The 28,000-nt window shown below is 43.3% G+C and overlaps 2 protein-coding genes across 25 annotated transcripts in view, besides 1 other annotated feature; one reads left to right on the top strand and one right to left on the bottom strand.

Annotated features, from left to right (window-relative positions):
• Window positions 25-27,631, top strand: ALDH6A1 (aldehyde dehydrogenase 6 family member A1). 3 transcript variants are annotated; one of them, NM_001278593.2, is made up of 12 exons: window positions 25-131; window positions 9,461-9,523; window positions 11,867-11,941; window positions 12,114-12,236; window positions 12,504-12,582; window positions 12,981-13,283; window positions 15,497-15,618; window positions 16,909-17,098; window positions 17,592-17,773; window positions 19,118-19,297; window positions 19,558-19,656; window positions 23,732-27,631. In NM_001278593.2, exons 1-12 carry the CDS (start codon window positions 84-86, stop codon window positions 23,834-23,836), a joined length of 1,569 nt encoding a protein of 522 aa, NP_001265522.1. In that variant the 5' UTR covers window positions 25-83; the 3' UTR covers window positions 23,837-27,631. The 3 variants fall into 3 exon arrangements, with proteins under 3 accessions (NP_001265522.1, NP_005580.1, NP_001265523.1); NM_005589.4 differs by having other exon boundaries at window positions 12,114-12,275; NM_001278594.2 differs by having other exon boundaries at window positions 12,114-12,275; window positions 12,818-13,283.
• The window catches only part of BBOF1 (basal body orientation factor 1), a 63,516-nt gene continuing 37,129 nt past the window's right edge, over window positions 1,614-28,000 (bottom strand). For 10 of the 22 annotated variants that reach the window (XM_011537176.3, XM_011537170.3, XM_005268092.4 and 7 more), the window contains 2 exons: window positions 27,498-27,572; window positions 26,714-27,334 (listed from right to left, as the gene is read on the bottom strand). In XM_011537176.3, coding sequence (XP_011535478.1) covers window positions 27,100-27,334; window positions 27,498-27,572 — 310 coding nt within the window. In that variant the 3' untranslated portion in view covers window positions 26,714-27,099. Of the gene's footprint in view, window positions 1,691-6,125; window positions 6,283-18,385; window positions 19,791-26,713; window positions 27,335-27,497; window positions 27,573-28,000 lie in introns of those variants that run through there. The other 12 variants (XM_011537174.3, NM_025057.3, XM_017021663.2 and 9 more) reach the window with 3 other exon arrangements.
• Window positions 20,361-20,580: a silencer, noted in NCBI's record as "fragment chr14:74530601-74530820 (GRCh37/hg19 assembly coordinates)". NCBI's record gives its function as "represses an EF-1alpha promoter that drives an FKBP-Casp9 reporter gene in an ReSE screen in HepG2 liver carcinoma cells {active_cell/tissue: HepG2}" and the evidence as "EXISTENCE:reporter gene assay evidence [ECO:0000049][PMID:32094911]".

Genomic DNA, 28,000 nt, shown 5'->3' with positions numbered 1-28,000 from the left:
GCAGGATGGAGGGCGAGGCCTGGCAGCTGTAGTGCTTCTGGGCAGTAGAGGCGCGGGGTGCGGAGCTAGGGCGGCCGAGAGCCATGGCGGCGCTATTGGCGGCGGCGGCAGTGCGAGCCCGGATCCTGCAGGCGAGTGAGGGTGGTGCCAAGGCACCATGAAGCTAGGAATTGGATCCTTTCCGTCCGCTCCCTGAGCCATCCTCGGGCGGGACCACCTTCTTGGCCCAACCCCTTTTTGGCCAGACCTCCTACCCGACCTGTGCGGCCCTGTCCCATGCCCAGCCCTCACTTCATAACCTCCCTGGTCCCGGATCCAACCCTGGGCTGTTACCCTTGGCCCTCTACCCTTTTACTCCTAAGCCTCCTCTTTTCTGGCTCTCGCCCACTCTCCTTCTCCAGCTCTGCCCGCTCCCTGCTGTCACTCTCTTGCCCTCATCTCTCCATCCGCCCACCGTCTTTCCTTTTTACCTCTGCACCAGCCTTCTCTCTCTCCCCCAGAAACTACTCTTTTTGGTTACTCTGTCCCCTGCCGTGAGCGTCCACTTTGCCATTGCTCCCTTCCCCCACCCTACTTCACTATCCGTGGTGATCTGAGGTAAGGGGGAGGGGGGACGCGAGGGGCGAGGGTCAGTGTATGAACTTTGAATTTCCTTCTAGAGGTGGACTCTAGATTTTCACCAAAGGCAGCCATTTGCTAAGCTATTTTCCCTAAGTGTGGCTCTTTGTATTTTCCATGGACTGGCTGTCCCCTTTCTTGCCAAAACTTTGAGTTAAACTTTTTCTCAGCTAAGTTACAGTTTACATAGATAGGGCACATCTACATAGATAGGGTAGATAAGGGCACACAGTTAAAGCTACCAGTATGTTCCATGTATGTTCAAGGTACCAAACATCTTTAAAACGGGTGATAGAAAGTGGGAGCCAGGTAAGACAAGAAGTCTAAGTTCCCACCCCAAAATCAGCTCTTCTAGTGCTACACACCCTCATCTCTGCACTTGGGGGATTGAGTCCTCTCTGAAGCCAACCTAAGGAGAAATGGTAAAGCTACAGGAGTTGCATGCCTGAGGCCTGTAATCTCCAACTCTGTTTATAGTCTTTCCCCTGTTCATGGCCTACCAAGGATTTAGAGTATGTGGCAAGATTTACCGCAGGCAAGAAACAGTCTGCAAGAAACAACAGTGCCGTTCTTATTCATTACATCCAGTCTGAGAATTTCCTCTATATTGCTGAGCTTTTAGGTAATATTAGTATTCACCAGGTTTCCGTGAGTTCTAGTAAAGAAACTTGGGCAGTTTTAAGATTCTTGGCAGAGTCAGCAAAGATTCATTTTTAAATATGCTATTTAATGGGGAAGGTAGAAAGGATGAGTTTGAAGGGTTTGGCAGATGGTCTGGCCTCACTCATATTTCTTGCTGCGATCCTTGTTCTGTTCTAGTATCTTTTTTTAGTAGCAGGAAAACAAAGTTTCCACCCTATATTTTTCTTACCAACTTCTTGAAATCTTTTACTGAAATTGGCTTTTTTCCTTTGCCTCCTCTTCCCCTCCCATCACAATGAGTCATTGAGAACCTTAAGAAAGTATTTTGTCCTTTTCCATCAAGGAGAAGAATCTCTCTTTCCATGTACTTTTATTTCAGAAACAGACACTATGTATTTTCTGATTCATTTGGAGAAACTTCTGAAGTGACCTGGAAAAGAACAGATAGAGTAATCCTCAGCCAACTAGGAGTTGTAACGTGAATCTTTGATTAAAAGTTCGATAAAAAGTAGCCTACGGGCCAGGCGCTGTAGCTCCTGCCTGTAATCCCTGCACTTTGGGAGGCCAAGGTGGGTGGATCACCTGAGGTCAGGAGTTCGAGACCAGCCTGACCAACATGGTAAAACCCCTTCTCTACTAAAAATACAAAAATTAGCCGGGTGTGGTGGCGGGCGACTGTAATCCCAGCTACTCAGGAAGTTGAGGCAGGAGAATCGCTTGAACCCGGAAGACGGAGGTTGCAGTGAGCTGAGATCGTGCCATTGCACTCCAGCCTGGGCGACAGAGCAAGACTCCATCAAAAAAAAAAAAAAAAAAAAAAAAAACCTCGATTTTGGCAGCCATGAATATTAGAGAACTATCAAAAGGATTTATAGAGGAGAAAGTTAATGTTTTCAATTATTTTAAGTATTCAGCTTATTTTTCTCTGCCACGAAGAGTAGTCAAACTTAACCTAAAACCTCTCTCTGCTCCTTGTGATATTATCACTCCCATGCAGAGATAAAGGAATGTTCGAGACAGGGTCTCGCTCTGTCACCCAGGCTGGAGTGCAGTGGTGCAATCACAACTCACAGCAGCCTCGACCTCCCACGCTGAAGTGATTCTTCCATCTCAGCCCTCCGAGTAGCTGCAACAACAGATCGTGCCCCCATGCCAGCTAATTTTTGTATTTTTTGTAGAGACAGGGTTTCACCATGTTGCCCAGGCTGGTCTTGAACTCTTAAACTCAAGCTATCCTCCCACCTCAGCCTCCCAAAGTGTTGGGACTACAGGCACGAACCGCTGCACCTGGGCAAGAAAATTACTCTTGAAGAGATGTAGCGACTTGCACTGTCGGTGATATGGTTACCGAACTAGTAACTGATGGGGCTGAAAATTCAGAACTTAAGTCTTGCCATCTCTTTCTATGTTAGGCACTGACATAGGCTTACAGTAAAATGCTCACTGAAAGCTCCTTTATTGTACTGCAATAAGTGATAAACAATAGGAGTATCTGGGATACTGTGGGGACCTAGGGAAAGAGCCAAGTATTGCAGGACTAGCAGGCCATGAACCAGGAGAGGAAGGAGTTCCTTATAAAGGATATAGCAAGTAGGAAGTAAACATCTAGAGAGCAGCAGTTTGGGGTGACTGGCCACAGGATAGTTTCTTCAGCAACAATGCTAATGGGTGTTTCTTAGGAAATGAAGAAAAGATAGAAGATCGAACCTGTCAAAAAACTATATGAATATGTTCTATTATACCAGATGTAGTGCTTTTTACATCCTCTTAACAGCAGGGAGGCTGTATACAAGTGAAAAAATAAAATTTAAGTGGCCTAGAATGCTCAAGTTGGCTGATCAGTGCATTGTCTGCCAACTTGAGAGTACTGAAACAATATCAAATGATTGCTTGGCGAGTACTCATTCTTTCATTGTGCAAAATATTGCTTACTAAGTACTTACTCTCTTCCAGGAATTGTGCTAGGGGCTGGGGACACAACAATCTAGTGACCTCAAAGGAGAGAAAGTTAATCATTAGACAAGCTATTATTTCATAGCGTGAGATGAGAAATAAAGGAATTTGGGTGCTTTATGAGCTTCACAATCAGCTGCTTACCATAGACCTGAGGTTGAGACTTCCTAGAGAAAGTGATGATGGCTGAGTGGGGACCTAAAGGAGTAGGAATGAGCCAAGGAAATTAGATGAAACAGTGCCAGGCAAGAGAGAGCAGCATGTGCAAGAGCAAAGAAAGCAAGACACACGTTAAATTGCAGGAGCATAGAGAACAGGGAGGAAAGTAGCCAGTTATGTAACTAGAAAAGCAAAGATACTATGTAGCGTTTTCTAAGCAACATCAAGGGGATTAGTCTTTATTCCAAGGGCAGTGGAAAGCCAAAGAAGAATTTTAAACAAGGGAATAATCTGACCAGATTTATGTTTCAGAAAGACCCTCTGATTATGGGATGGAAACTAGATTCAGAAAGTTTAAGAGTAGGCTGGGTGTGATGGCTCATGCCTGTAATCCCAACACTTTGGGTGGCCCAGGCAGGAGGATCGCTTGAGGCTAAGAGTTCAAAACCAGCCCTGGCAAGATAGGGAGGCCCCATCTCTACAAAAAAAAATTTTTTTTAATTAGCTGGGCATGGTGGCATGTGCCTGTACTCCTAGGTACTTGGGAGACTGAGGCAAGAGGATCACTTGAGCCTGAGAGCGAGGTCGTGTGCACCTGTGGTCCCAGGTACTTGGGAGGCTAAGGCAGGAGGATCACCTAAGCCCTGGAGATTGAGGCTACAGTGAGCTGTGGTTGTGCCACTGCACTCTAGCCTGGGTGACAGAGTGAGACTCTGTCTCAAAAAAAAAAAAAAAAAGAAAGAGTTTAACATTAGAGGCTGAGAGATGTGTTAGGAAGCTATTATGGAAGGTCAAGTGAGAGACAATGATGGTATAGACTGGGATAATGGCAGGACAGCTAGAGGTGAGTGATGTGTTTCAAACAATTCTAGGACAGACTGCCAGGAGTTTTTTGCTTCCCTGCAGAGAGAGAGGGAGGAATTGGAATAGTATCTGGGTTTCTCCTTTGGCAACTTGTTAAGGAGTAGCCCTATTTACCGAGAGGTGGGCTATAGGAGGCATAGCAAACTGGCAAAAGGAAGATGCAGAGTTTAGCTTTTGCTTTTGTTTTTTGGTTTTTGTTTTTTTAAGATAGGGTCTCGCTCTGTCACCCAGGCTGGAGTGCAGTGGCACAATCGCAGCTCACTGTAGCCTCAATCTCCAAGGCTTAGGTGATCCTCCTGCCTTAGCCTCCCAAGTACCTGGGACCACAGGTGCACATGACCATGCCCAACTAATTTTTAAAATTATCCGTAGAGGTCACATGTCGTGGCTCACACCTGTCATCCCAGAACTTTGGGAGGCCAAGGTGGGCAGATCATTTGAGGCCAGGAGTTCAAGACCAGCCTGGCCAACATGACAAAACCGCATCTCCACTAAAAATACAAAAAATTAGGCCAGGCGCAGTGGCTCACGCCTGTAATCCCAGCACTTTGGGAGGCTGAGGCGGGCGGATCATGAGGTCAGGAGATCGAGACCATCCTGGCTAACATGGTGAAACCCCATCTCTACTAAAAATACAAAAAACTAGCCAGGCATGGTGGCGGGCGCCTGTAGTCCCAGTTACTCAAGAGGCTGAGGCAGGAGAAGGTGTGAACCCAGGAGGCGGAGCTTGCGGTGAGCCAAGATCGCGCAACTGCACTCCAGCCTGGGCGACAGAGTGAGACTCTGTCTCAAAAAAAGAAAAAAAAAAAAAACAATAAGAAAAAAAAATTAGCCGGGTGTGGTGGCATATGCCTGTAATCCCAGCTACTCAGGAGGCTGAGGCAGGAGAATCGCCTGAACCCGGGAGGTGGAGGTTGCAGTGAGCCGAGATTGCGCCATTGTACTCCATTGAGTGCAGGCAGGTCTCAAATTCCTGAACGCAAGTGATCTTCCCACCTCAGCCTCCCAAAGTGCTGGGATTACAGGCGTGAGCTACTGTGCCCAGCCACCTTTTTTTAACATGTGCCCAAGTAACATCCAAATAGAGATGTGGTAAAGATAATTACGTGGGTATCACCTGAAGAGGAAAATACTGGCCAAGGACTAAAGAGTTGGGCATCATCAGGATCTAGATAGTTAAGCCATGAGAGTTGATAAAATCACCCAAGGAGCATATACAGAATGAGAAGAAAAGAAGGCCTAGGACCAAGCCTTGGGAAACTTAAAGAGTTAATGGCAGCCTGGTGGGGTGGCTCACCCCTGTAATCCCAGCACTTTGGGAGGCCAAGATGGTCAGATCACCTGAGGTCAGGAGTTCGAGACCAACCTGGCCAACAAGGTGAAACACTGTCTCTACTAAAAATACAAAAATGTGGCCAGGTGCAGTGGCTCACACCTGTAATCCCAGCACTTTGGGAGGCTGAGGCAGGCAGATCACTTGAGGTCAGGAGTTTGAGACCAGCCTGGCCAACATGTTGAAACCCCATCTCTACTAAAAATACAAAAAATTAGCTGGATGTGGTGGCACATGCCTGTAATCCCAGCTACTCAGAAAGCTGAGGCAGGAGAATCACTTGAACCCGGGAGGTGGAGGTTGCAGTGAGCCAAGATTGCACCACTGCACTCCAGCCTGGGTGACAGAGTGAGACTCTGTCTCAAAAAAATAAAATAATAAAAGCAAATTAGCTGGGTGTGGTGGTATGTGCCTGTGGTCTCAGCTATTTGGGAGGCTGAGGCAGGAAGATGGCTTGAGCCCAGGAGATGGAGGCTGCAGTGAGCTATGATCATGCCACTGCATTCCAGCCTAGGAGACAGGACGAGACCCTATCTCAAAAAAAAAAAGTATATACCTCTTCATCCAGTCCACATATATTGATCGTGCACCACTGTCTCGGTCACTTTTCCTGCATGGAGCTTGCTGGCTACCTTCTCCATTAGGTTGAGTTCAGTTTTGTAGGTTTGCTAGTAGGAAGTTGAGAAGTTCTCATCTGATGGTTTCTGTGTGCTCTGAAGTAAGAAAAACAAAGTCAGCTCCTGAAAGTACAAGAGGAATTAGTAGAATTGGGAGTTTTAAGATAAAGTTGTGGAATAGCAAAGAGTGAAAATAAACAATAAGTGTTTATTATTTATAGAAATGGAGTCTCGTTATGTTCCCCAAGCTGGTCTTGAACTGGGCTCAAGAGATCCTCCTGCCTCAGCTTCCCGAGTAGTTGGGACTACAGGCAGAAATCACCGTGCCGTTATTTACAATGACATAACAATAAGATTTAATGAGTACCAGCTTTGTGCTAACTACTTTTCTATAACTGGACAGTCCTGATCAGGTTTAATCTTTAACTCTGAAGTAGGTGAACAAGACAGATGCAGTGTCAACCCTCCTGAAACTGACAGTCTTTATGGGTAACAGATAAGTACCCAGGTGCTGTGGCTTGGATATGGTTGGTTTGTCTCCACCAAAACTCATGTTGAAATTTAATCTCCAATGTGATAGTGTTGGGACCTAGTGGGAGGTGTTTGGGTCATGGGGGTGGATCCCTCATGAATGGCTTTGTGCTGTAGTGAGTGAATTCTTGCTCTTTTGAGACTGGATTAGTTCCCATGGGAATGGATTAGTTCCTGTGTGAGTGGGCTATAAAGCCAGGATACCCCCCCAGTTTTGCCTCTTCACACAGGTCTGCTTCCCCTTTGATCTTCTCTGTTATATTATGACACAGGACAGAAGCCCTCGCCAGAAGCTAGAGCCATTCCCTTGAACTTCCCAGCCTGCAGAATCATGAACTAAATAAACTACTTTTCCTTATAAATTGCCCAGTCTCAGGTATTTTGTTATAGCAACACAAAACGGAATAAGATACCAAACAATTACAACACAGAGAGATAAGCCTGAAACGGGAAGTATTGGCTGCTTTCAGAGGACAAAAAAGGGCCTCTTAACCTAGTTTGGGGTAGGAAGCAGACAGGAATGGGCTTCTATTTTATTCAGCAGATATTTACTGAACACCTACTACCTACCGAGTACTATATTGGTATTGGGAACATAGCTATAAATAAGACATGATGGGCTCCAGGAGAGTGTCAGTGGTTTGAAATGGCTTTGGTAGGGAATAGAAGAGCAAACAGATGAGGTATTTGGAAGGACTATCTGCTGGACCAAAGGACCACCACCTTTTCCTGGGCAGTGCTGCAGGCACCCTTCATGCAGCTCTATACTCTGGTTAACAGAGTCCCTTTTCAGGCAAGATAAAAGATTATTAGATTGCAGCTTTCCTTTATATCCCAGTCCTGAGTATTTTAGTTTGCTCATTTTGATTGGCTTAAGTATTTCTTAAATCAACTTTGATAACATATATATAGGCTGGGTGCAGTGGCTTACACCTGTAATCCCAGCACTCTGGGAGGCTGAGGCGGGTGGATCACCTGAGGTCAGGAGTTTGAGACCAGCCAGGCCAACATGGTGAAACCCCATCTCTACTAAAAATACAAAAAAAATAAAATAAAATTAGCCAGGCATGGTGGCGGGTGTCTGTAATCTCAGCTACTCAGGAGGCTGAGGCAGGAGAAAAGCTTGAACCCAGGAGGTGGAGGTTGCAGTGAGCCAAGGTCATGCCACTGTACTCCAGCCTGGTCAATGAGAGCAAAATTCTGTCTCAAAAAATAAATAAATAAAAAGAAAATTAGCTGGGCGTGGTGGCAGACACCTATAATCTGAGCTACTTGGCAGGCTGAGGCAGGAGAATCGCTTGAACACGGGAGGCAGAGGTTGCAGTGAGCCGAGATCATGCCACTGCACTCCAGCCTGGGCGACAGAGTGAGACTCCATCTCAAAAAATCAACTTTGATAACATATATACAGACTTTTTTAGTGAGTTACAATTTGAGAGTTATCTTGTTGAAACTGATCCTCCCCGTTTACTGATTTTACTCCATCAAATATTATCTATCCAACACATTTTTTCCTTTAATGTACCTATGGCATTTCAATATAGCTTTATTAAAATAAAATTGACACAAAACAATCTGTACATATTTAAAGTATGCAGTTTGATGAGTTTTAACATTTGTATACACCTGTGAAAATAGCATCACAATCAACATAATGAACATATGTCCATCACCCCAAAAAGTTTCCCTCGTCATCCCTAGGTAACCACTGTTCTGCTTTCTGATATTACAGATTTGTTTGCATTCTCTAGTGTTACATAAGTAGAATCATACAGTATGTACTTTTATTATCTAACTTCTGTCTCTTGCCATAATTATTATGACTATTTATATTGCATGTATCAGCAGGTCATTCCTTTTTTTGCTGAGTAGTATTCCAGTGTATGAATATACCACATTAGTTTCCTTATTCACCCATCCAATGGTAGACATTGGGTTGTTTCCAAGTTTTGGGCTACTACAAATAAAGTTCTTATGAACATTCATTTTTCAAATACCTATATGGACATAATTTTAATTGCATTTGGTAATAAATTTTGATTTATATTTACATTGATTATATACTCTATTACTTATATTTATATTTACATTGATTTTTTTTTTTGAGACAAGGTCTCCCTCTCTCTTCCTGGCTGGAGTGCAGTGGCATAATCACGGTTCACTGCAGCCTCACCCTCCCGGGCTGAAGCAATCCTCCCACCTTGGCCTCCCTAGTAGCTGGGACCACAGGCATGTGCCACCACTGCCTGGCTAATTTTTTAATTTTTTGTAGACAAGGTTTTGCCATGTTGCCCAGGGTGGTCTCAAAACTCCTAGACTCAAGTGATATACCCGTCTCAGCTTCCCAAAGTGCTGAGATTACAGGCGTGAGTCACCATGCCCAGCACATTGATTTTATATGATCTTAAATTCAGTACCTATTGTGTTAGATACCATGCTAAGTATTTTCATATTGTTAGATTTATGGTACATTTGCCAGGCCCAAATTAGGAAAATATAATGACAAAAAGATTTTTTTTAATCAGTACTATCCTGGAAATATAGGACATGATTATTATGGTTTATTGTTTGTTCATAGTTTGCTGTGTCATAGATTCATATCTTTTCTCTTTAATGACTGTATGGCCTTTGAGAGAAACATACCCCCTATATACTATAGCAAATAGCATATAGTAGCTATTTGCTAAATTTTAAATAACTTTCTGCTCTCATTTATCAAAATAATCGTTCTTTTGCCTCACAGGTTTCTTCCAAGGTGAAATCCAGTCCCACCTGGTATTCAGCATCTTCCTTCTCTTCTTCAGTGGTGAGTTTATTTGGCATAGAGGTTGACTTCTGAGAAGGAATTCAGTATAGTTTTGGGTATCTCTATCTTCTTTACATAATTGTCATCAGAGTGTATGTGAAACTTTCTAGTTTTTTCCTCCTTTTGGATTATTTCCCTCCTGAAATGGATTACCATGTCAAAAGATACAAACATTTTCATGGCTTCTAGAGGTTCTGCTGACCCTGCCAGATAGTTGTCTTCTTCTTAATGACCTTTAGAGTGGTTTTTACAGATCATCTGTCTGTCAACCACTTCCAGCATCTAAAATCTAATAAATAAGGACTATTGCTCAAATTCTTTCTACACAGAAGTATGCACACACTGTACCACAGTAGGTCACCATTTTTTGGTTCATAGACCGCTTTAAAAATTTAGTGTCCCAGCACTTTGGGAGGCTGAGGCAGGTGGATCACGAGGTCAAGAGATCGAGACCATCCTGGCCAACATGGGGAAACCACATCTCTACTAAAAATACAAAACTTAGCTGGGCATGGTGGCACGCACCTGTAGTCCCAGCTACTCTGCGGGCTGAGGCAGGAGAATCGCTTGAATTCGGGAGGCGGAGGTTGCAGTGAGCCAAGATCGCACCATTGCACTCCAGCCTGATGACAGAGCGAGACTCCGTTTCAAAAAAAAAAAAAAAAATTTAGTGAAAGGGGCCGGGCGCAGTGGCTCACCCCTGTAATCCCAGCACTTTGGGAGGCTGAGGCAGGTGGATTGTCAGAGTTCAAAAGTTCGAGACCAGCCTGGGAGACATGGTGAAACCCCATCTCTACAAAAAATTAGCCAGGCGTGGTGGTGCGTACCTATGGTCCCAGCTGCCTGGGAGGGTGAGGTAGAGGGACTGCTTGAGCCTGGGAGGCAGAGGTTGCAGTAAGCCAAGATTGTGCCACTGCACTCCAACCTGGGTGACAAAGTAGACTCTATGTTAAAAAAAAAAAAAATTAGTTAAAGTGAGCTATATCTCAGAAAAAAATACATAGAAACATTTTCAAAATCTTTTTTTTTTTTTTTTTGAGATGGAGTCTTACTCTGTCACCCAGGCTGGAATGCAGTGGCGTGATCTCAGCTCACTGCAACCTCCACCTCCCAGGTTCAAGTGATTCTCCTGCCTCAACCTCCCGAATAGCTAGGATTACAGTCGCATGCCACCAAAACCAGTTGATTTTTGTGTTTTTAGTAGAGACAAGGTTTCACCATGTTGTCCATGGTTGGTCTAGAACTCCTGACTTCAACTGATCCACCTGCCTCGGCCTCCCAAAGTGCTGGGATTACAGGCGTGAGCCATTTGCCCAGCCAAAAATCTTTTGATCATAAAGGTAATACATGCTCACAGTAATGTAACAGTCAGCTGGGCCAAAAAGTCATAATAGCTAATCTTTATTAACAGAGTTGCTGCTTTTTTAGTATAAGCTTCATAATATCGTGTTTCTACTCATGAAGTTCCACTGTGTGAATAGCAGGGAATTTCCCATTCTCAGAGAGATCACAGTATTGAGAGGCTGTGCCACATCTTAATATATACTATAGTCTGGGCACGATGACTCACGCCTGTAATCCCAGCACTTTGAGAGCCTGACGCAGGTGGATCACTTGAGCCCAGGAGTTCGAGACCAGCCAGGCAATATGGCCAAACCCCGTCTCTATCAAAAGTACAAAAAAATTAGCTGGGCATGGTAGCATGTGCCTGTAGTCCCAGCTGCTCAGGAGGCTGAGGTGGGAGAATCACCTAAGCCCTGGGGGTTGAGGCTGCAGTGAGTCATGATCACACTACACTCCAGCCTGGGCAACAGAGTGAGACCATGTCTCAAAAAAATAAAAAATAAAAAATAAGGGCCAGGTGCAGAGGCTCACGCCTGTAATCCTAGCACTTTGGGAGGCCGAGGTGGGTGGATCACCTGAGGTCAGGAGTTCGAGATCAGTCTGGCCGACATGGTGAAACCCCATCTCTACTCAAAATACAAAAATTAGTTGGGTGTTGTGGCGGGTGTCTGTAATCTCAGCTACTCGAAGGGCTGAGGCAAGAGAATTGCTCGAACCCGGGAATCAGAGGTTGCAGTGAGCCGAGATCATACCACTGTGTGCTCCAGACTGGGGGACAAGAGCGAAACTCTGTCTCAAAAAAAAAATAAACACACACACACAGAATAGATAGGGATATTATGTGTCTCTTTCCTAGTGGTAACATTTCTAAAGACCAGAAGATTCCGTTATCAACTTGTTTTCTTTCCTTTTGGTGCAAGGGAAAGGGAAAAGCAAAGCAATTAGCTAATACAAAGTTTCATGTTTTTGTTTGTTTGTTTGTTTGTTTGTTTTTTTCAGCCAACTGTAAAGCTCTTCATTGGTGGGAAATTCGTTGAATCCAAAAGTGACAAATGGATCGATATCCACAACCCAGTAAGCGAAGCTGCTTTGGGACTTCAACTTATGAGCCTAGAATTCTAGGGACATGATGGGCAAGAAGGGACCTGGGTGTCTGTTGTAAAGCACATAGTGCCACTTCTGTGACTGGATGTACAGTGGAGAAGGTGAGTCAGGCAAAGGATCATGTGCTTATTTTTCTCATCAGGCCACCAATGAGGTCATTGGTCGGGTCCCTCAGGCCACCAAGGCAGAAATGGATGCAGCCATTGCTTCCTGCAAACGTGCTTTTCCTGCATGGGCAGACACTTCAGTATTAAGCCGCCAGCAGGTCTTGCTCCGCTATCAACAACTTATTAAAGAAAACTTGGTATGAAATCTAAATGGTATGCTTTTCCAAACTGTCACCTAGGGCATGTTTGTCACTCTCACAGAGACCTTTTCAGCCACCCTCCCTTACTCTGCAGTATGCAGAGACGTTGATCATGACTCTCTCCCTTGTACTGCATCTCCTCCAGTCTTATTCTTCCTTTGCTACCTCAGAATTTAAAAGAGGAACATTCTTGCATTAATTTCTATTTGTGTGTCTTCTCTCTAGAAAGAAATTGCCAAGTTAATCACATTGGAACAAGGGAAGACCCTAGCTGATGCTGAAGGAGATGTATTTCGAGGCCTTCGTAAGCTGGGAGCCCCTTATGGGACTTTTGGGAAGGACCAAAGGAAGATGGGAGGCAAAGATCGCAGAATGGGAGGTTGCTTCTTCCTTTACATAGATTTTGCCATCCCATGATATCTTTTTTAATACTTGTGAAAAATGGCAGTATTCAGTATCCCTAAGACTGATTTACTTTACTCTTTACTCAAATGATCTTCCAGTGGGTATATACATATCGCTGTATTTTTCCCATTCAGAGAATCTCATTTTGCACAAACCCTTAACTTGGAAGGGCAAGTCAGTGTACCCTGCACCCCTTCATTGGCCTGAACCACTTCCTGTCCTCAGGGCTGAAGAGAACAGGACAAAGCTAACTAGTACACAGTGTGGAGAGCTGATGGCCTGACTTCTGTGTTCCAGAGGTGGTTGAGCATGCCTGTAGTGTGACATCCCTCATGATGGGAGAGACCATGCCATCCATCACCAAAGACATGGACCTTTATTCCTACCGTCTGCCTCTGGGAGTGTGTGCAGGCATTGCTCCATTCAATTTTCCTGCCATGATCCCCCTTTGGATGTTTCCCATGGCCATGGTGTGTGGAAATACCTTCCTAATGAAACCATCTGAGCGAGTCCCTGGAGCAACTATGCTTCTTGCTAAGTTGCTCCAGGATTCTGGTGCCCCTGATGGAACATTAAACATCATCCATGGACAGCATGAAGGTAACTGCCCTTATGCATATGGCTACTTAATCTGGCTACCAAAAAATCAAGGTGTTGAGTGATGGTTGGATGTTTTAGGATAAGGAACCTACTTGTAAGGAGGAAAGGATTTACTCATTTTAACCTCCATGTTTGTTGATGATTTTGCCATCTTTGTGCGCCAAGGTAACTGATTGGGGAATAGCAGTGCTTGTTGCCCTACAGTATATATTGGGACACTAGAAATATGGATTAGGGCTAGACACAGATAAGATTAAAAAGAAACTTTTTTCTTCAGTGTGAAGAGAATACATGAGGGTATTTAATTCAGAGAATTTGCAGATCTCAGAGATACTGAAGGCCTTCTAATTCATGTAATAATAGCTAATACTTAAATAGTGCTTCTGTGTTTCAGGCACCGTTCCTAGTGCTTTTTATCTATTAATCTTTATAATCACCCTTTGAGGTAGGTATTATTTTTCCATTTTGCAGAAGAGAAAAATGAGACATAGTGAAATTAATTAGCCCAAAGTCACAGTGCTAGAAAAAGCCAGGATGTGTATACCCATCCAGGAAGGCTGACTCTGATTTTTGCTTTTAAAAACTACACTATATTACCTCTTACATGAGAACACAATAGTGTCTGAGTGTCCCAGTACATAGTCACCATTGAGGAAATATTGTTATTCTTTTTTTTGAGATGGAGTCTCCCTCTGTCGCCCAGACTGGAGAGCAGTGGTGCGATCTCGGCTCACTCTACCCGCTGCCTCCCAGGTTCAAGCAATTTTCCTGCCTCTGCCTCTTAAATAGCTGGGATTACAGGCATGCGCCACCGTGCCCCACTAATTTTGTTATTTTTAGTACAGATGGGGTTTCACCATGTTGGCCAGGCTAGTCTCAAACTCCTGACCTCAGGTGATCCACCCGCCTCGGCCTCCCAAAGTGCTGGGATTACAGGTGTGAGCCACTGTGCCTTGCCTATTGTTATTCTTAAAGGACAAAAAAGAAGGGTTCAGTATTCAAAGGCTGTTATTTTGGAGGAAAATAGGAGTTGCAGCCTTCAAAGTTAGATTAAGGCTGGGTGCAGTGGCACATACCTGTGATCCCAGCACTTTGGGAGGTGAAGGCAGGCGGATCACTTGAGCCCAGGAGTTCGAGACCAGCCTGGGCCATGTGGCGAAACCCCCGTCTCTACAAAAAAAATACAAAAATTAGCCAGGAATGGTGGCATGTGCAGGTAGTCCCATGAGGTGGGAAGACAGCTTGAGCCTGGCAAACAGAGGTTGCAGTGAGCCAAGACTGTACCACTGTACTCTAGCCTAGGTGAAACAGTGAGACCCTGTCTCAAAAAAAAAAAAAAAAAAAGGTTAGATTAGAAGTAGAAATTCTGGAATAGCAAATGAGAAAAATCATGAAAGGAAAGAGACTAAATAGAATTTATTTTTATATTTTTTATTGTTTTGAGATGGAGTTTTGCTCTTGTTGCCCAGGCTGAGGCGCAATGGCACAATCTCGGCTCGCTGCAACCTCTGCCTCCCGGGTTCAAGCAATTCTCCTGCCTCAGACTCCCAAGTAGCTGGGATTACAGGTGCCCACCACCACATTTGGCTAATTTTTTTGTATTTTTAGTAGAGACAGGGTTTCACCATATTGGCTAGGAAGGTCTCGAACTCCTGACCTCAGGTGATCCACCTGCCTCGGCCTCCCAAAGTGCTGGAATTACAGGCATGCGCCACCGTGTCCAGCCGGCTAAATAGAATTTAAAAGAAACAAGGAGAGAACTTCACAATGAGAATCCAGTACAGAAAAACACAGGCCTGATGCAGTGGCTCACACCTGTAATCCCAGCATTTTGGGAGGCCAAGGCGAGTGGATCACGAGGTCAGGAGTTCAAGACCAGCCTGGCCAAGATTGTGAAACCCCGTGTCTACTAAAAATACAAAAATTAGGCAGGCATGGTGGTGGGTGCCTATAATCCCAGCTGCTTGGGAGGCTGAGGCAGAGAATTGCTTGAACCTGGGAGGCGGAGGTTGCAGTGAGCCGAAATTGTGCCACTGCACTCCAGCCTGGGCAACAGAGCGAGACTCCGTCTCAAAAAAAAAAAAAAAAAAAAAGAAAAAGTAAAAGAAAAACACAGGAAAACTTCAAATCCATAGCAGTGGGGAAAGGGGAAATTTGCCATGTTGAGAATCCATTTGCTCCTTTGTGAGTGATCATTTATTTTCTTCTTAAAGCTGTAAATTTTATTTGCGATCATCCGGACATCAAAGCAATCAGCTTTGTGGGATCCAACAAGGCAGGAGAGTATATCTTCGAGAGAGGATCAAGACATGGCAAGAGGGTTCAAGCCAATATGGTGACTTCTTATTCCTTTTTTCTCCAATCTTTGTTCTATATATGAAAATTACCTAGGAACAGACCTTCAGCAGAGAGGCCACTCATCCCACTCCAATGTCAGTGTTTCTTTCTTTTTTTTGAGACAGAGTCTCTCTGTCACCAAGCTGGAGTGCAGTGGCATGATCTCGGCTCACTGCAACCTCTGCCTCCCGGGTTCAAGCGATTCTCCTGCCTCAGCCTCCCGAGTAGCTGGGAATACAAGCACATGCCACAGCGCCCGGCTAATTTTTCTATTTTTTTTCAGTAGAGACAGGGTTTCACCATGTTGGCCAGGATGGTTTCGATCTCCTGACCTCATGATCTGCCCGCCTCGGCCTCCCAAAGTGCTGGGATTACAGGCGTAAGCCTTACCATATCCTCCTGAATGTCTTCTCTTTAATCATGAACCTTTTGAGGAGTTTCATTCTAAGTCACGTTAATCACTTTTTTTCTTTTTTTTTGAGACAGAGTCTTACTCTGTCACCCAGGCTAGAGTGCAGTGGTGCCATCTCAGCTCACTGCAACCTCCACCTCCCAGGTTCTAACAATTCTCATGCCTCAGCCTCCTGAGTAGCTGGGATTACAGGTGCCTACCACCACACCCAGCTAATTTTTGTATTTTAAGTAGAGACAGGGTTTCTTGGCCAAGCTGGTCTTGAACTCCTGACCTCAAGTGATCCACCCACCTCAGCCTCCCAAAGTGCTGGGATTACAGGCATGAGCCACCATGCCTGGCCTCTTTCTTGAAATTCTACATCAAGAGGTCTACTTTCTGTTTTGCCTTTCAGCTGGTTACTGGCATTATTGCTGTAAGGCTGTAAGTTCTTTTTTTTTTTTTTTTTAACATTGCTCTTCATATAACTAAAAAACCCAGCAGACAACAAATTCCTGTTTTTTGTTTGTTTGTTTGTTTTGAGACAGGGGTCTCACTCTGTCACCCAGTCTGGAGTACAATGGTGTGATCTTGGCTCACTGCAACCTCCGCCTCCCAGGATCAAGTGGTCCCCCTACCTCAGCTTCCCAAGTAGCTGGGACCACAGACTGGTGCCATTATGCCTGGCTAATTTTTTGTATTTTTTGTAGAGATGGTGTTTCACTATGTTGCCTAGGCTGGTCTTGAACTCCTGACCTCAAGTTATCCTTCTCACCTCAGCCTTCCAAAGTGCTGGGATTACAGGCATTAGCCACCACACCTGGTCCACTGCTTAATTTCTTAGCTTAGTTGTATTTGGCCAAGGAAGACTCATGTGCTTTCTGCATTTTTTTTTAGGGAGCCAAGAACCATGGGGTAGTCATGCCAGATGCCAATAAGGAAAATACCCTGAACCAGCTGGTTGGGGCAGCATTTGGAGCTGCTGGTCAGCGCTGCATGGCTCTTTCAACAGCAGTCCTTGTGGGAGAAGCCAAGAAGTGGCTGCCAGAGCTGGTGGAGCATGCCAAAAACCTGAGAGTCAATGCAGGTAATCAATCACCTGACTTGCCCCCTTAGATTTTGCATCTGTGGCATTAAGCTCTTGGGTTCTGTCACTGGCCTTGGCCAGTGGGAACAATCATGTCTATTCTTGCCATTTCCTCTCTTTATACTGTACTTGTCATTTGGAGTCATCTTGTTAGCAGTCTTTTTTTTTAAAGCACAGGCTGTCTGTTACCCAAGCTGGAGTGCAGTGGCACCATCCTAGCTCATGGCAGCCTCAAACTGTTGGGCTCAAGTGATCCTCCTGCCTCAGCCTCCTGAGCAGCTTGGACCACAGGTGCGGGCCACCACCTGGCTAATTTTTTTATTTTTTGTAAATATGAAGTCTCACTTTGTTGCCCAGGCTGGTCTGGAACTCCTGGGCTCAAGCAGTCCTCCTGCCTTGGCCTCCTAAAGCTTTGGGATTACAGGCATGAGCCCTGGCAGCAGTCATAATTTATGTTAATGAGGACCTTAAATTCTTCTGTGTTGTTTTACAGGAGATCAGCCTGGAGCTGATCTTGGCCCTCTGATCACTCCCCAGGCCAAAGAGCGAGTCTGTAATCTGATTGATAGTGGAACAAAGGAGGGAGCTTCCATCCTTCTTGATGGACGAAAAATTAAAGTGAAAGGCTATGAAAATGGCAACTTTGTTGGACCAACCATCATCTCGAATGTCAAGGTGAACAACTTTCACTTCACAAATATGAGAGCTGAAGGCACCTTAAAGGCTATAGAATCTCATCCCTCTAATTTATTAATGAAAATACTTAATGACTAAGACCTTATCTCTTGCCAGGATTGATCAATTATTTTATCTGGAGTCTGAATGAGCCTCTCCTTCTAACTCCCAACCAAACTCTTTCCACTATACCAGCAGTCTGCAGACTTTCCATAAAGGGATAGATATTTCCAGCTTTGCAGGGATATAGTGTCTGTTGCAACTAAACTCTGACATTGTAGTGTGAGATCAGCTATAAACATTGTGTGGCTGTGTTCCAAAAAAAATGTTATTTATGGACACTGATATTTGAATTTCATATCATTTTATATATGATTAATTTTTTTTCAACCATTTAAAAATGCAAAAACCATTTTTAACTTGGGGCTGTACAAAAACAGGCAGGAAGCCACATTTGGCCCACAGGCTATAGTTTGCCAAACGCTATCTTATCTTATACTGGTTTGTTAATGTTTTCTCTCCCCTCTCCCTCTTGCTGCCTAGCTTATGGCTACTGCAGTGTCTCAATCAATATATCAACCACCCAATATTTATTGAAAGTGACAAAAATAATTGACTTGTCAATTTTTATTTATCAAAACTTTGAAAGTCTCTCAGCTAACATGACTTAAAAATTGAGGTTATGAGGCATTTTTTGAAATTCATATATCCTTACTATAATAGTGAATCATCAAGTGTTGAATGTAAGTGCAGTAGAAATTATGAAATCTCTTGCCACAGAACCATACAGAAAAATCCGTTTATCAGCAACAAACATTAATTGCATGGTGAAGGATGTTTTGAGTGTCTGCGACCTGATATCAAAATATAAACATACAGACATATTTGGGAGGCAAAGGAGTGAATAAGAATGGATTATTTATGTTACAGAAAACAGCATGGGGTTTCTGTAAAGAGAAAAATTATCCTGGTATATTTACTATAGATTGGATTTATAAAAAATAAATTTTCATGTAACTTTTTGATAACAATTGGATGAAACTAGTCGTTCAGGTATTAAAAAGGCAGCTGATGATGGGTCATGAACTAAAGATACAGTCCCTTAAAGGAAGTGTGGTTATTGTTGATAGGAATTCCAAGTTGTTTATATGATTGGTAACTTGGAAGACGGAATACACTTGAGAGAGGACTTTTTTTTTAAATAGGTGATTTGAAATGAAAAGAGATTAGTAATATGAAAGTTGTCCACGTAAATGATGTGTAGTAAGTGAAAGTACCAAATAAGCATAAAATACTCAGAATCCAAAAAGCTGACTTCTTTTCTGGATGCATCACTCCTGGCAGCCAAATATGACCTGTTACAAAGAGGAGATTTTTGGTCCAGTTCTTGTGGTTCTGGAGACAGAAACATTGGATGAAGCCATCCAGATTGTAAATAACAACCCATATGGAAATGGAACTGCCATCTTCACCACCAATGGAGCCACTGCTCGGAAATATGCCCACTTGGTGGATGTTGGACAGGTTCGTGAACAGAATTTTTAAGAGATTCTTATATCCATTTACTATTTCCTAAGAGGAAACAGTAAATAATGGTGAGTCATTGGTTTAAGATTGCCCCCATGACCTCCCACATTGCCCCATTTCTTCCTCAGGAATGAAAGTTCATGGGGTAGAGGATAGGGTAGAAGGTGGGTATTTAAAACTGGTCTCTGATGCCTTTGTGTTTCTAAATGGAGAGTTCCTTTGTCCTTAGGATATGACACGGATTTGTTCTGTTTTAGGTGGGAGTGAATGTCCCCATTCCAGTGCCTTTGCCAATGTTCTCATTCACCGGCTCTCGATCCTCCTTCAGGGGAGACACCAATTTCTATGGCAAACAGGTAACTTTTGAGTTAAATTTTTTGTCTTTTCCTTTAAGAAATTTTCTTAAAGATATTCAGGAGCAAGGATTCTGCAAGGAAGGGACTGCCAGCAGCATCTGTGAGGTCATAATCAGTGCTTCTCAGAAGGTTCCCTAAAAAAGATTTAAAAGTTAACAAAATTTTGCCAAAGCTGCTTCTTCCTGAATAATTCAAAGCAACAAAGTTTTGAGGAAAGAGCATGGGGAAGTCTAAGCCTTTGTATATGCCATTTCCTGAGTGTGTGACCCTCTTCCCCATCTCTCCCCTTTCATCTGACTAACTCCTAATCATCTGTCATGTCTCACTTTAAAAAATGAGCTCCTCCAGAAAATCTCCTCCAACTACCACCACCCCTCCCTCAGTGCTGGGTAGTGTGACCCCAGTGTGTTCCCATTGCACGTATTTTTTCTGTAATAGTTATTCATTTACAAAAAATGTTGTTGAGCACGTTCTTTGTAGCAGACATTATTATTACTATTATTATTATTATTTTTTTTTTTTTTGAGACACAGTCTCGCTCTGTTGCCCAGGCTGGAGTGCTGTGGCATGGTCTTAGCTCACTGCAACCTCCGCCTCCTGGGTTCAAGCACTTCTCCTGCCTCAGCCTCCCGAATAGCTGGGACTACAGGTGCCTGCCACCATGCCTGGATAATTTTTTGTTTTTTAGTAGAGACAGGGTTTCACCATGTTGGCCAGGCTGGTCTTGAACTCCTGACCTTGTGATCCACCCACCTCAGCCTCCCAAAGCACTGGGATTACAGGTGTGAGCCACTCTGCCCGGTCTGTAGCAGACATTATTTTAGGCACTATGAATACAGCACTGAACAAGAAAAGTAAAGCAGATCTGGAACCAAATTGCCTGTGTTCAAATCCCAGCTAAGCCAGTTATTAGCTGTCTGACTTTGGGGGATACCATTAATTTTTTTTTTTTTTTTGAGACAGAGTCTCACTCTGTCGCACAGGCTGGGGTGCGGTGGCACAATCTTGGCTCACTGCAACCTCCGCCTCCCAGGTTCAAGCAATTCTCCTGCCTCAGCCTCCCAAGTAGCTGGGATTACAGATGCCCACCACCACACTTGGCTAATTTTTGTATTTTTAGTGGAGATAGGGTTTCACCATTTTGGCCAGGCTGGTCTCGAATTCCTGACCTCAGGTGATCCGCCTGCCTCAGCCTCCTAAAGTGCTGGGATTACAGGCATGAGCCACCACAGCCAACCAGGATACCTTCTTTATGCCTTAAATTTATTCACGTATAAAATGAATAACAATAGTACCTATGTATTTCATAACATTGTAAGGACTGAATTATCACTATTGGCCAGGTGCAGTGGCTTACGCCTGTAATCCCAGCACTTTGGGAGGCTGAGGCAGGCAGATCACCTGAAGTCAGGAGTTTGAGACCAATCTGGCCAACATGGCAAAACCCCCTCTACTAAAAATAAAACAATTAGCCAGGTGTGGTGGCAGGTGCCTATAATCCCAGCTACTCGGGAGGCTGAGGCAGAAGAATCCTTTGAATCTGGGAGGCGGAAGTTGCAGTGAGCCGAGATTGCACCACTGGACTCCAGCCTGGGCAACAGAGCAAGACTCCATCTCAAAAAAAAAAAAAAGAAGAATTATTACTATTGCCACATCGGCCAACAGGTGCATATGTCCCGAGGCAGGAAGAAGCATGGCACATTCAGACAGCGGAAATGGGCTGGGGCACAGTGAGCAAATGAGAAGAAAAGGAAGAAATGAAGTTAGAGAGGCAGGCAGGGGTTGAGTCATGTAGGGCTCTTTAAGCCATTTAAAGAAGCCCTCATCAGACTGTAGTTGTTATCTACTTATCTGCAGTACCTGGAACAGAGCAGGCTGCCCAAACATTTGTTGAACAAATAGGCTAGGGGAAGTTCTTTCTAGTCATAGGACTAGAGCCATTTTGAAACCTTCATTAATAAATTACATGTTTTGTTATACAAGTCTCCCCTTTTATAGGTTGATTTTTTTTTTCTGTGCCAGCTATGTGCTGCCACAGGGCGAGGGATGTGGGGCTTTTTTATTTTATTTATGTTTGGGTTATTAAAAAATTAACAATGGGATTGCATAGCATTATGACAGTGTGGCCAAATGGTTAAGAAGTCAACACTTTGGTATTTGGAGGTTGATTATATAGTTTGTATATTAGTCACAGCTTTTGGTTTTTTGTTTTGGGGTTTTTTTGATGGAATCTTTCTCTGTCACCCAGGCTGGAGTATAGTGGCATGATCTTGGCTCACTGCAACCTCAGCCTCCAGGGTTCAAGCAATTCTCGTATCTATGCCTCCCGAGTAGCTGGGATTACAGGCACGTGCCACCACACCCGCCAATTTTTGTATTTGTAGTAGAGACGGGGTTTCGCCATGTTGGCCAGGCTGGTCTCGACCTCCTTACCTCAGGTGATCTGCCTGCCTCGGCCTCCCAAAGTGCTGGGATTACAGGAGTGAGTCACCGCACCCGGCCTAGTCACAGCTTTTGTAAAAATGACTAATTTGATACTAGTAACATTTCTTTTAAGCAAAACAGAGTACAACTATTGTTTAAAAATTGTTCCCTGCCCACCCTCTCCATTTATTTATTTTTTTGAGATGGGAGTTTTGCTCTGTTGCCCAGGCTGGAGTGCAATGGTGCATTCTCGGCTCACTTGCAACCTCCACCTCCCAGGTTCAAGCAATTCTGCCTCAGGCTCCACCACGCCCAGCTTTTTTTTTTTTTTTTTTTTTTTTTTTTTCCCAGTAGAGACGAGGTTTCGCCATGTTGGGCCAGGCTGGTCTTGAGCTCATGGCCTCAAGTGATCCGCCTACCTCAGCCTCCCAAAGTGCTGATATTACAAGTGTGAGCCACCGCTCCTGGCTGCACCCCCCAGTTTAATTATTATAAATTACTCTGGTAATCTGGTAAAATGTCATTCTAGCTTGCTAGTAATTATATAAGTGTTAGATCTGCACAATGTATTCTCTTTTGCTCAAGCCTACTCTTATAAACTATATCTATATATAGAGAGAGTTAAATATGCTGAATTTTTGGGCTCACATGTTATAGGTAATTGAGAAGTGAATTTGTATAATGTCAGACATTTTACTTTAGATTTCTAAGATACTTTGGGTTTGCCACTTCAATATAGAGCTCATGATCTCTGATAATTATCAGAAATGGCCGCTGGGTACAGTGGCTCATGCCTGTGATCCCAGAACTTTGGGAGACCAAGACTGGCGGATCACCTGAGGTCAGGGGTTCAAGACCAGCTTGGCCAACATGGTGCTAGCCAACATGGGCTAATCTGAAATTAGCCCTTCTCTACTAAAAATACAAAAATAGCTGGGCATGGTGGCACACACTTGTAATCCCAGCTATTCAGAAGGCTGAGGCAGGAGAATCACATGAACCTGGGAGGCAGAGGTTGCAGTGAGCCAAGATCACACCACTGCACTCCAGCCTGGGCAACAGAGCAAGACTCTGTCTCAAAATAAATAAATAAATAAATAAATGGCCTACTATATAATAGCTGGGGGCACGGTGGCTCACACTTGTAATTCCAGCACTTTGAGAGGCCGAGGAAGGCGGATCACTTGAGGCCGGGAGTTCGAGACCAGCCTGGCCAACATGGTGAAACCCCATCTCCACTAAAAATACAAAAATTAGCCAGGCGTGGTAGCAGGTGCCTGTAATCCCAGCTACTCGAGAGGCTGAGGCAGGAGAGCTGCTTGAACCCGGGAGGCAGAGGTTGCAGTGAGCTGAGATCATGCCACTGCACTCCAGCCTAAGTGACAGAGCAAGACTCCATCTCAAACAAAAAAGAAAGAAATACTAGTTTCAGCATAATAATGATGGCTAAGGTTTGATTGTTTACTATCTGCCAGGTATTATGTTAAATGTTTTAGATCAATTATCTTAGGAACAATATATATTGGATTCTGATTGCATTTCTCAATTAGGAAAGTGAGTAGCACTTTATAATACCTCCTTCAAAAGCTAATTAAAAGAAGAATCATGAAACCCCAGAAATATATGCTAACTTTTTTTCTGTTTTCCTTAGGGCATCCAATTCTACACTCAGTTAAAGACCATTACTTCTCAGTGGAAAGAAGAAGATGCTACTCTTTCCTCACCTGCTGTTGTCATGCCTACCATGGGCCGTTAGAAACAAGTTTGTTTAAGACTGACTCCATCCTGAGTAATCTCCCTTTATTTTTGACCAGCTTCATTTGTCAGCTTTGCTCAGATCAGATCGATGGGATTGGAATACATTGTAACTAAAATCTTCCTCAGGACTATTAACCCCCGCAAAGTTTCTATAGGGAACTGCCTAGTGTAACAATGAAACCAGATTTCTCACTTGCTCTTCATACTTCTATTTTGAGGTAACTGTTGTAACTATGAAATGCTTATCTGAAAGTAGTGCTTAAACCTGATTTCTAAAAATTATCCCATTTTCTGATGATTTGAAGGGGAGAAAAGCCAGTGTATGTAAAGAAAATGTTCCAGCCAGGCGCGGTGGCTCACGCCTGTAATTCCATCATTTTGGGAGGCCACAGTGGGCAGATTGCTTGAGCCCAGGAGTTGAAGAACGTGGCGAAACCCCGTATCTATTATTTAAAAAAATTGAAAAAGTAAAAAAAGAAAAGGGAAAAAAAATTTTTTAAAGAAGATGTTCCAATAATTGCAAGAAGAACTCTTAGATGGGGAAACAGGACAGAAATAACTCACCGCTTTTGGTTGATCCTCAAACATAGCGCTACCTAAATGCCACTGGGAGAGACCTCCTGCAAAGTTTTCTTTAGCCCCTCTTTTATCCCACAATACACAAGATATAATCCATTTTTATATATCCCAAAGTTGTGGCAACAGCTTCTTTCTTTTCTGCTCAATGCCACTTTGTTTCCTAGTAATTCATGACCACTATTAATTCTATCATTGTCACTGCTCCTGCTTAAGATCACTTCTCAAGGATACCTCAGTAAGCAATGGATAAATCAACTTTTTGTTATATGTGCCAAGTACTAAGTTTCAGGGTTCTCTTCAGCAATCATTAATTAATACTTCAGCCATTAATTCAGATGCAAATAATTTTCTTTTTTCTTTTTTTTGAGATGGAGTTTCACTCTTGTTGCCCAGGCTGGAGTGCAATGGCGTGATCTCAGCTCACCGCAACCTCCGCCTCCCAGGTTCAAGCGATTCTCCTGCCTCAGCCCCCCTAGTAGCTGGGATTACAGGCATGCGCCACCACACCCAGCTAATTTTGTATTTTTAGTAGAGACGGGGTTTCTCCGTGTTGGTCAGGCTGGTCTCGAACTCCTGACCTCAGGTGATCCGCCTGCCTCGGCCTCCCAAAGTGCTGGGATTACAGGCATGAGCCACCACACCCAGCCAGATGCAAATAATTTTCTTAGAAAATTATTTCAAAAGTTATTTTAGGCCCAGAAATCAAGGATTGTTCCAACCATGAAAATGGGTAAGACACCTGCCTTAAGCAAATCTAACCTGCTATTACTTGCCAAATTTTATATATTCTTTTCTCTTGCCTGTATTTCTAATTAGTGATTTGTTTAATGAAGAACTCTTCATGTAGAGCAATTAACTGGGCCTAAGAAATTTCGAAGCTTTCCATGACATAAAGTGGTTAAAAAAAAATGCTTTGACAGTCTTCTTCTGCCATTAGTTCAACTGCCTTTACGCTTTTTTTTTTTTTTTTTTTTTTGAGATGGAGTTTCACTCTTGTTGCCCAGGCTAGAGTGCAATGGCGTGATCTTGGCTCACTGCAACCTCTGCCTCCCGGGTTCAAGCAATTCTCCTGCCTCAGCCTCCTGAGTAGCTGGGATTTCAGGCATACGCCACCATGCCTGGCTAATTTTGTATTTTTAGTAGAGACAGGGTTTCTCCATGTTGGTCAGGCTGGTCTCGAACTCCCGACCTCAGGTGATCTGCCTGCCTTGGCCTCCCAAAGTGCTGGGATTACAGGTGTGAGCCACCACCCCCAGCCGCCTCTATGCTTTTTGTTTCTTTGATATATCTAAACTTAAGGTCAGAACAGAAATTCATGTGCTGAACAGAATGGATTCTTTTTGCAGTACCAATCCAATTGAATCCTCTTTTTATTTTCCTGCGTCCTTACCAGTCACTTTGATAGTGCTAACTAACCTACACTATGGGGGTTATTCATGAATTAAGTATGATAAAAAAAAAAAAGACCTTGAAAATGTTGTGTACCCTGTGGATTTGAGGCTTATTACTACCACCTGGCTGGATAAAATGTCAAAACCTTCAATCACTTAAGGTGACTGGAACTTTTGTAAAATACACTTATGATCCTACTGGGCCTTTTTTTTTTTTTTTTCTGCTTTCCTAAATATGAGGCAATAGAAATTTATAATTTGAGACTACAGTACCCCTTGTTTTAGCTCTTATCACAGCTGGCAACTGGTAGTGATTTTTTTTGTTGTTGTTTTGTTTTGTTTTGAGATGGAGTCTCGCTCTGTTGCCCAGGGTGGAGTGCAGTGGCACGATCTCGGCTCACTGCAACCTCCACCTCCTGGGTTCAAGTAATTCTCCTGCCTCAGTCTCCCGAGTAGCTGGGATTACAGGTGCATGCCCCCACACCCGGATAATTTTTTGTACTTTTAGTAGAGACAGGGTTTCACCATGTTAGCCAGGATGGTCTCAATCTCCTGACCTAATGATCCGCCCACCTCGGCCTCCCAAAGTGCTGGGATTACAGGCGTGAACCACCGCACCTGGCCCTGGTAGTGATATTTAATCCAATCCAACAACTATAGGCTGGGTTAAATAAAAGGTCATTATTGTCTATATTCCAAGTGGAATTAAATGTAGTCACAGAGATTCCTAACATTTTCCTTATATTTAAGGGAAATCACTTCTAAAAAAACACACTAATCAGAACTGTGATGCTCTAATTAGAAACAACTCATCTGGCCAACTATTTGCTGCTCAGAGTTTCTTATTTCTTAGATGAAAAAAACTCATCAGTTATATTCATGTGATCGCGGCTAAAAAGTCAGTATTTTCTTTTTGTTCTAATGTGGCTTCATTTGAAATTTCTCAGATTCTACATTGTACTAATTATGAATAACAAATTATAAATTAAAAACTCTTAAAGAGAAAAACTTGGCTTAAAAAAATCATTTCATATCTCCTTATAAGCCTTTGTCCTCTAGGTTGTAATGACTCTGACTTCCCACCTGTGATGGAAAGCTAAGAGTCACAAGGTCACTATGTTTACTCTTACGTAAAAGATAGTACACATTTTGGCTAGGCTGTTTACTTCAAAAGGCAACCTATAGGTTTCTACACAAAAAGAGGCACACATTTGCATTTGCATTAGTATAATATGCATTTGTACGGATATTGCTTTAAAAATTTATGTAATCTACTAATGCTATTTATTACTCATTCCACTGATCCCTGAAGTCTCTCAACTAGTAGAGAAAATAACCGTGATTTAGCAAGAAGCGACATGGGGAAGGGTGACAACAATATACATTGTTTGATTAGATACAGACTCCTTACTGTGTCAGACTCCTGAGGTTCTTTTGGAATAGTGGGTAGCACCACTTCACCAGAAGAGTCTGATATTGCAATTTGCTGGGTGATGAAGATTTTATCTTGAAGCTTACTTTCATCCCTGCAATAATGACAAAATAACAGAACCGTCAACAACTCTACACACATGAAACCTGGTTTAGAATAACAGACTTGTCATATTACTTTCAATTAGCACATTCAAGATGCCCACAAGAACCATCGTGTTGGGCTCATGTTTATTACTTAAGCAAGAGAGCTCTTACCCAAATTCCTTTGTTTCCCCACTGTCAGAAACAACATAGTCTGGAACTGGAGGCCTAGAACTCTGGTTGTATTTCCTGTAGTGGGTAAAAGTCAACAAAGATAATGAATGAGGCAGTGTCTCCTCATGCCTTCATATTTTCTTTTTGTATTTTAATTTTTTTTTATTTTTTATTTTTGTGGGTGATAGTAGGTATACGTATTTGTGGGGTACGTGAGATGTTTTGATACAGGCATGCAATGTGAAATAATCACATCATAGAGAATGAAGTATCCATCCCTTCAAGTATTTATCCCTTGTGTTACAATCCAATTACACTCTTTTAGTTATTTTAAAATGTATAACTGGCCAGGGGCAGTGGCTCATGCCTGTAATCCCAGCACTTTGGGAAGCCGAGGTGAGTGGATCATCTGAGGTCAGGAGTTTGTGACCAGCCTGGCCAACATGGTGAAACCCTGTCTTTACTAAAAATACAAAATTAGGGCCGGGCACAGTGGCTCATGC

Source organism: Homo sapiens, chromosome 14 (assembly GCF_000001405.40).
Source record: "Homo sapiens chromosome 14, GRCh38.p14 Primary Assembly".
Taxonomy (NCBI): domain Eukaryota; kingdom Metazoa; phylum Chordata; class Mammalia; order Primates; family Hominidae; genus Homo; species Homo sapiens.
This window is presented reverse-complemented; position numbering and strand designations above follow the sequence as displayed.

Excerpts from the sequence above, each read along its gene's own strand:
- ALDH6A1 (NM_005589.4), top strand. The coding sequence starts at position 84 with ATGGCGGCGCTATTGGCGGCGGCGGCAGTGCGAGCCCGGATCCTGCAG. Across the intron at positions 12,583-12,980 it reads AGATGTATTTCGAGGCCTTC|AGGTGGTTGAGCATGCCTGT; the intron begins GTAAGCTGGGAG and ends TCTGTGTTCCAG. Across the intron at positions 13,284-15,496 it reads CATCCATGGACAGCATGAAG|CTGTAAATTTTATTTGCGAT; the intron begins GTAACTGCCCTT and ends TTCTTCTTAAAG.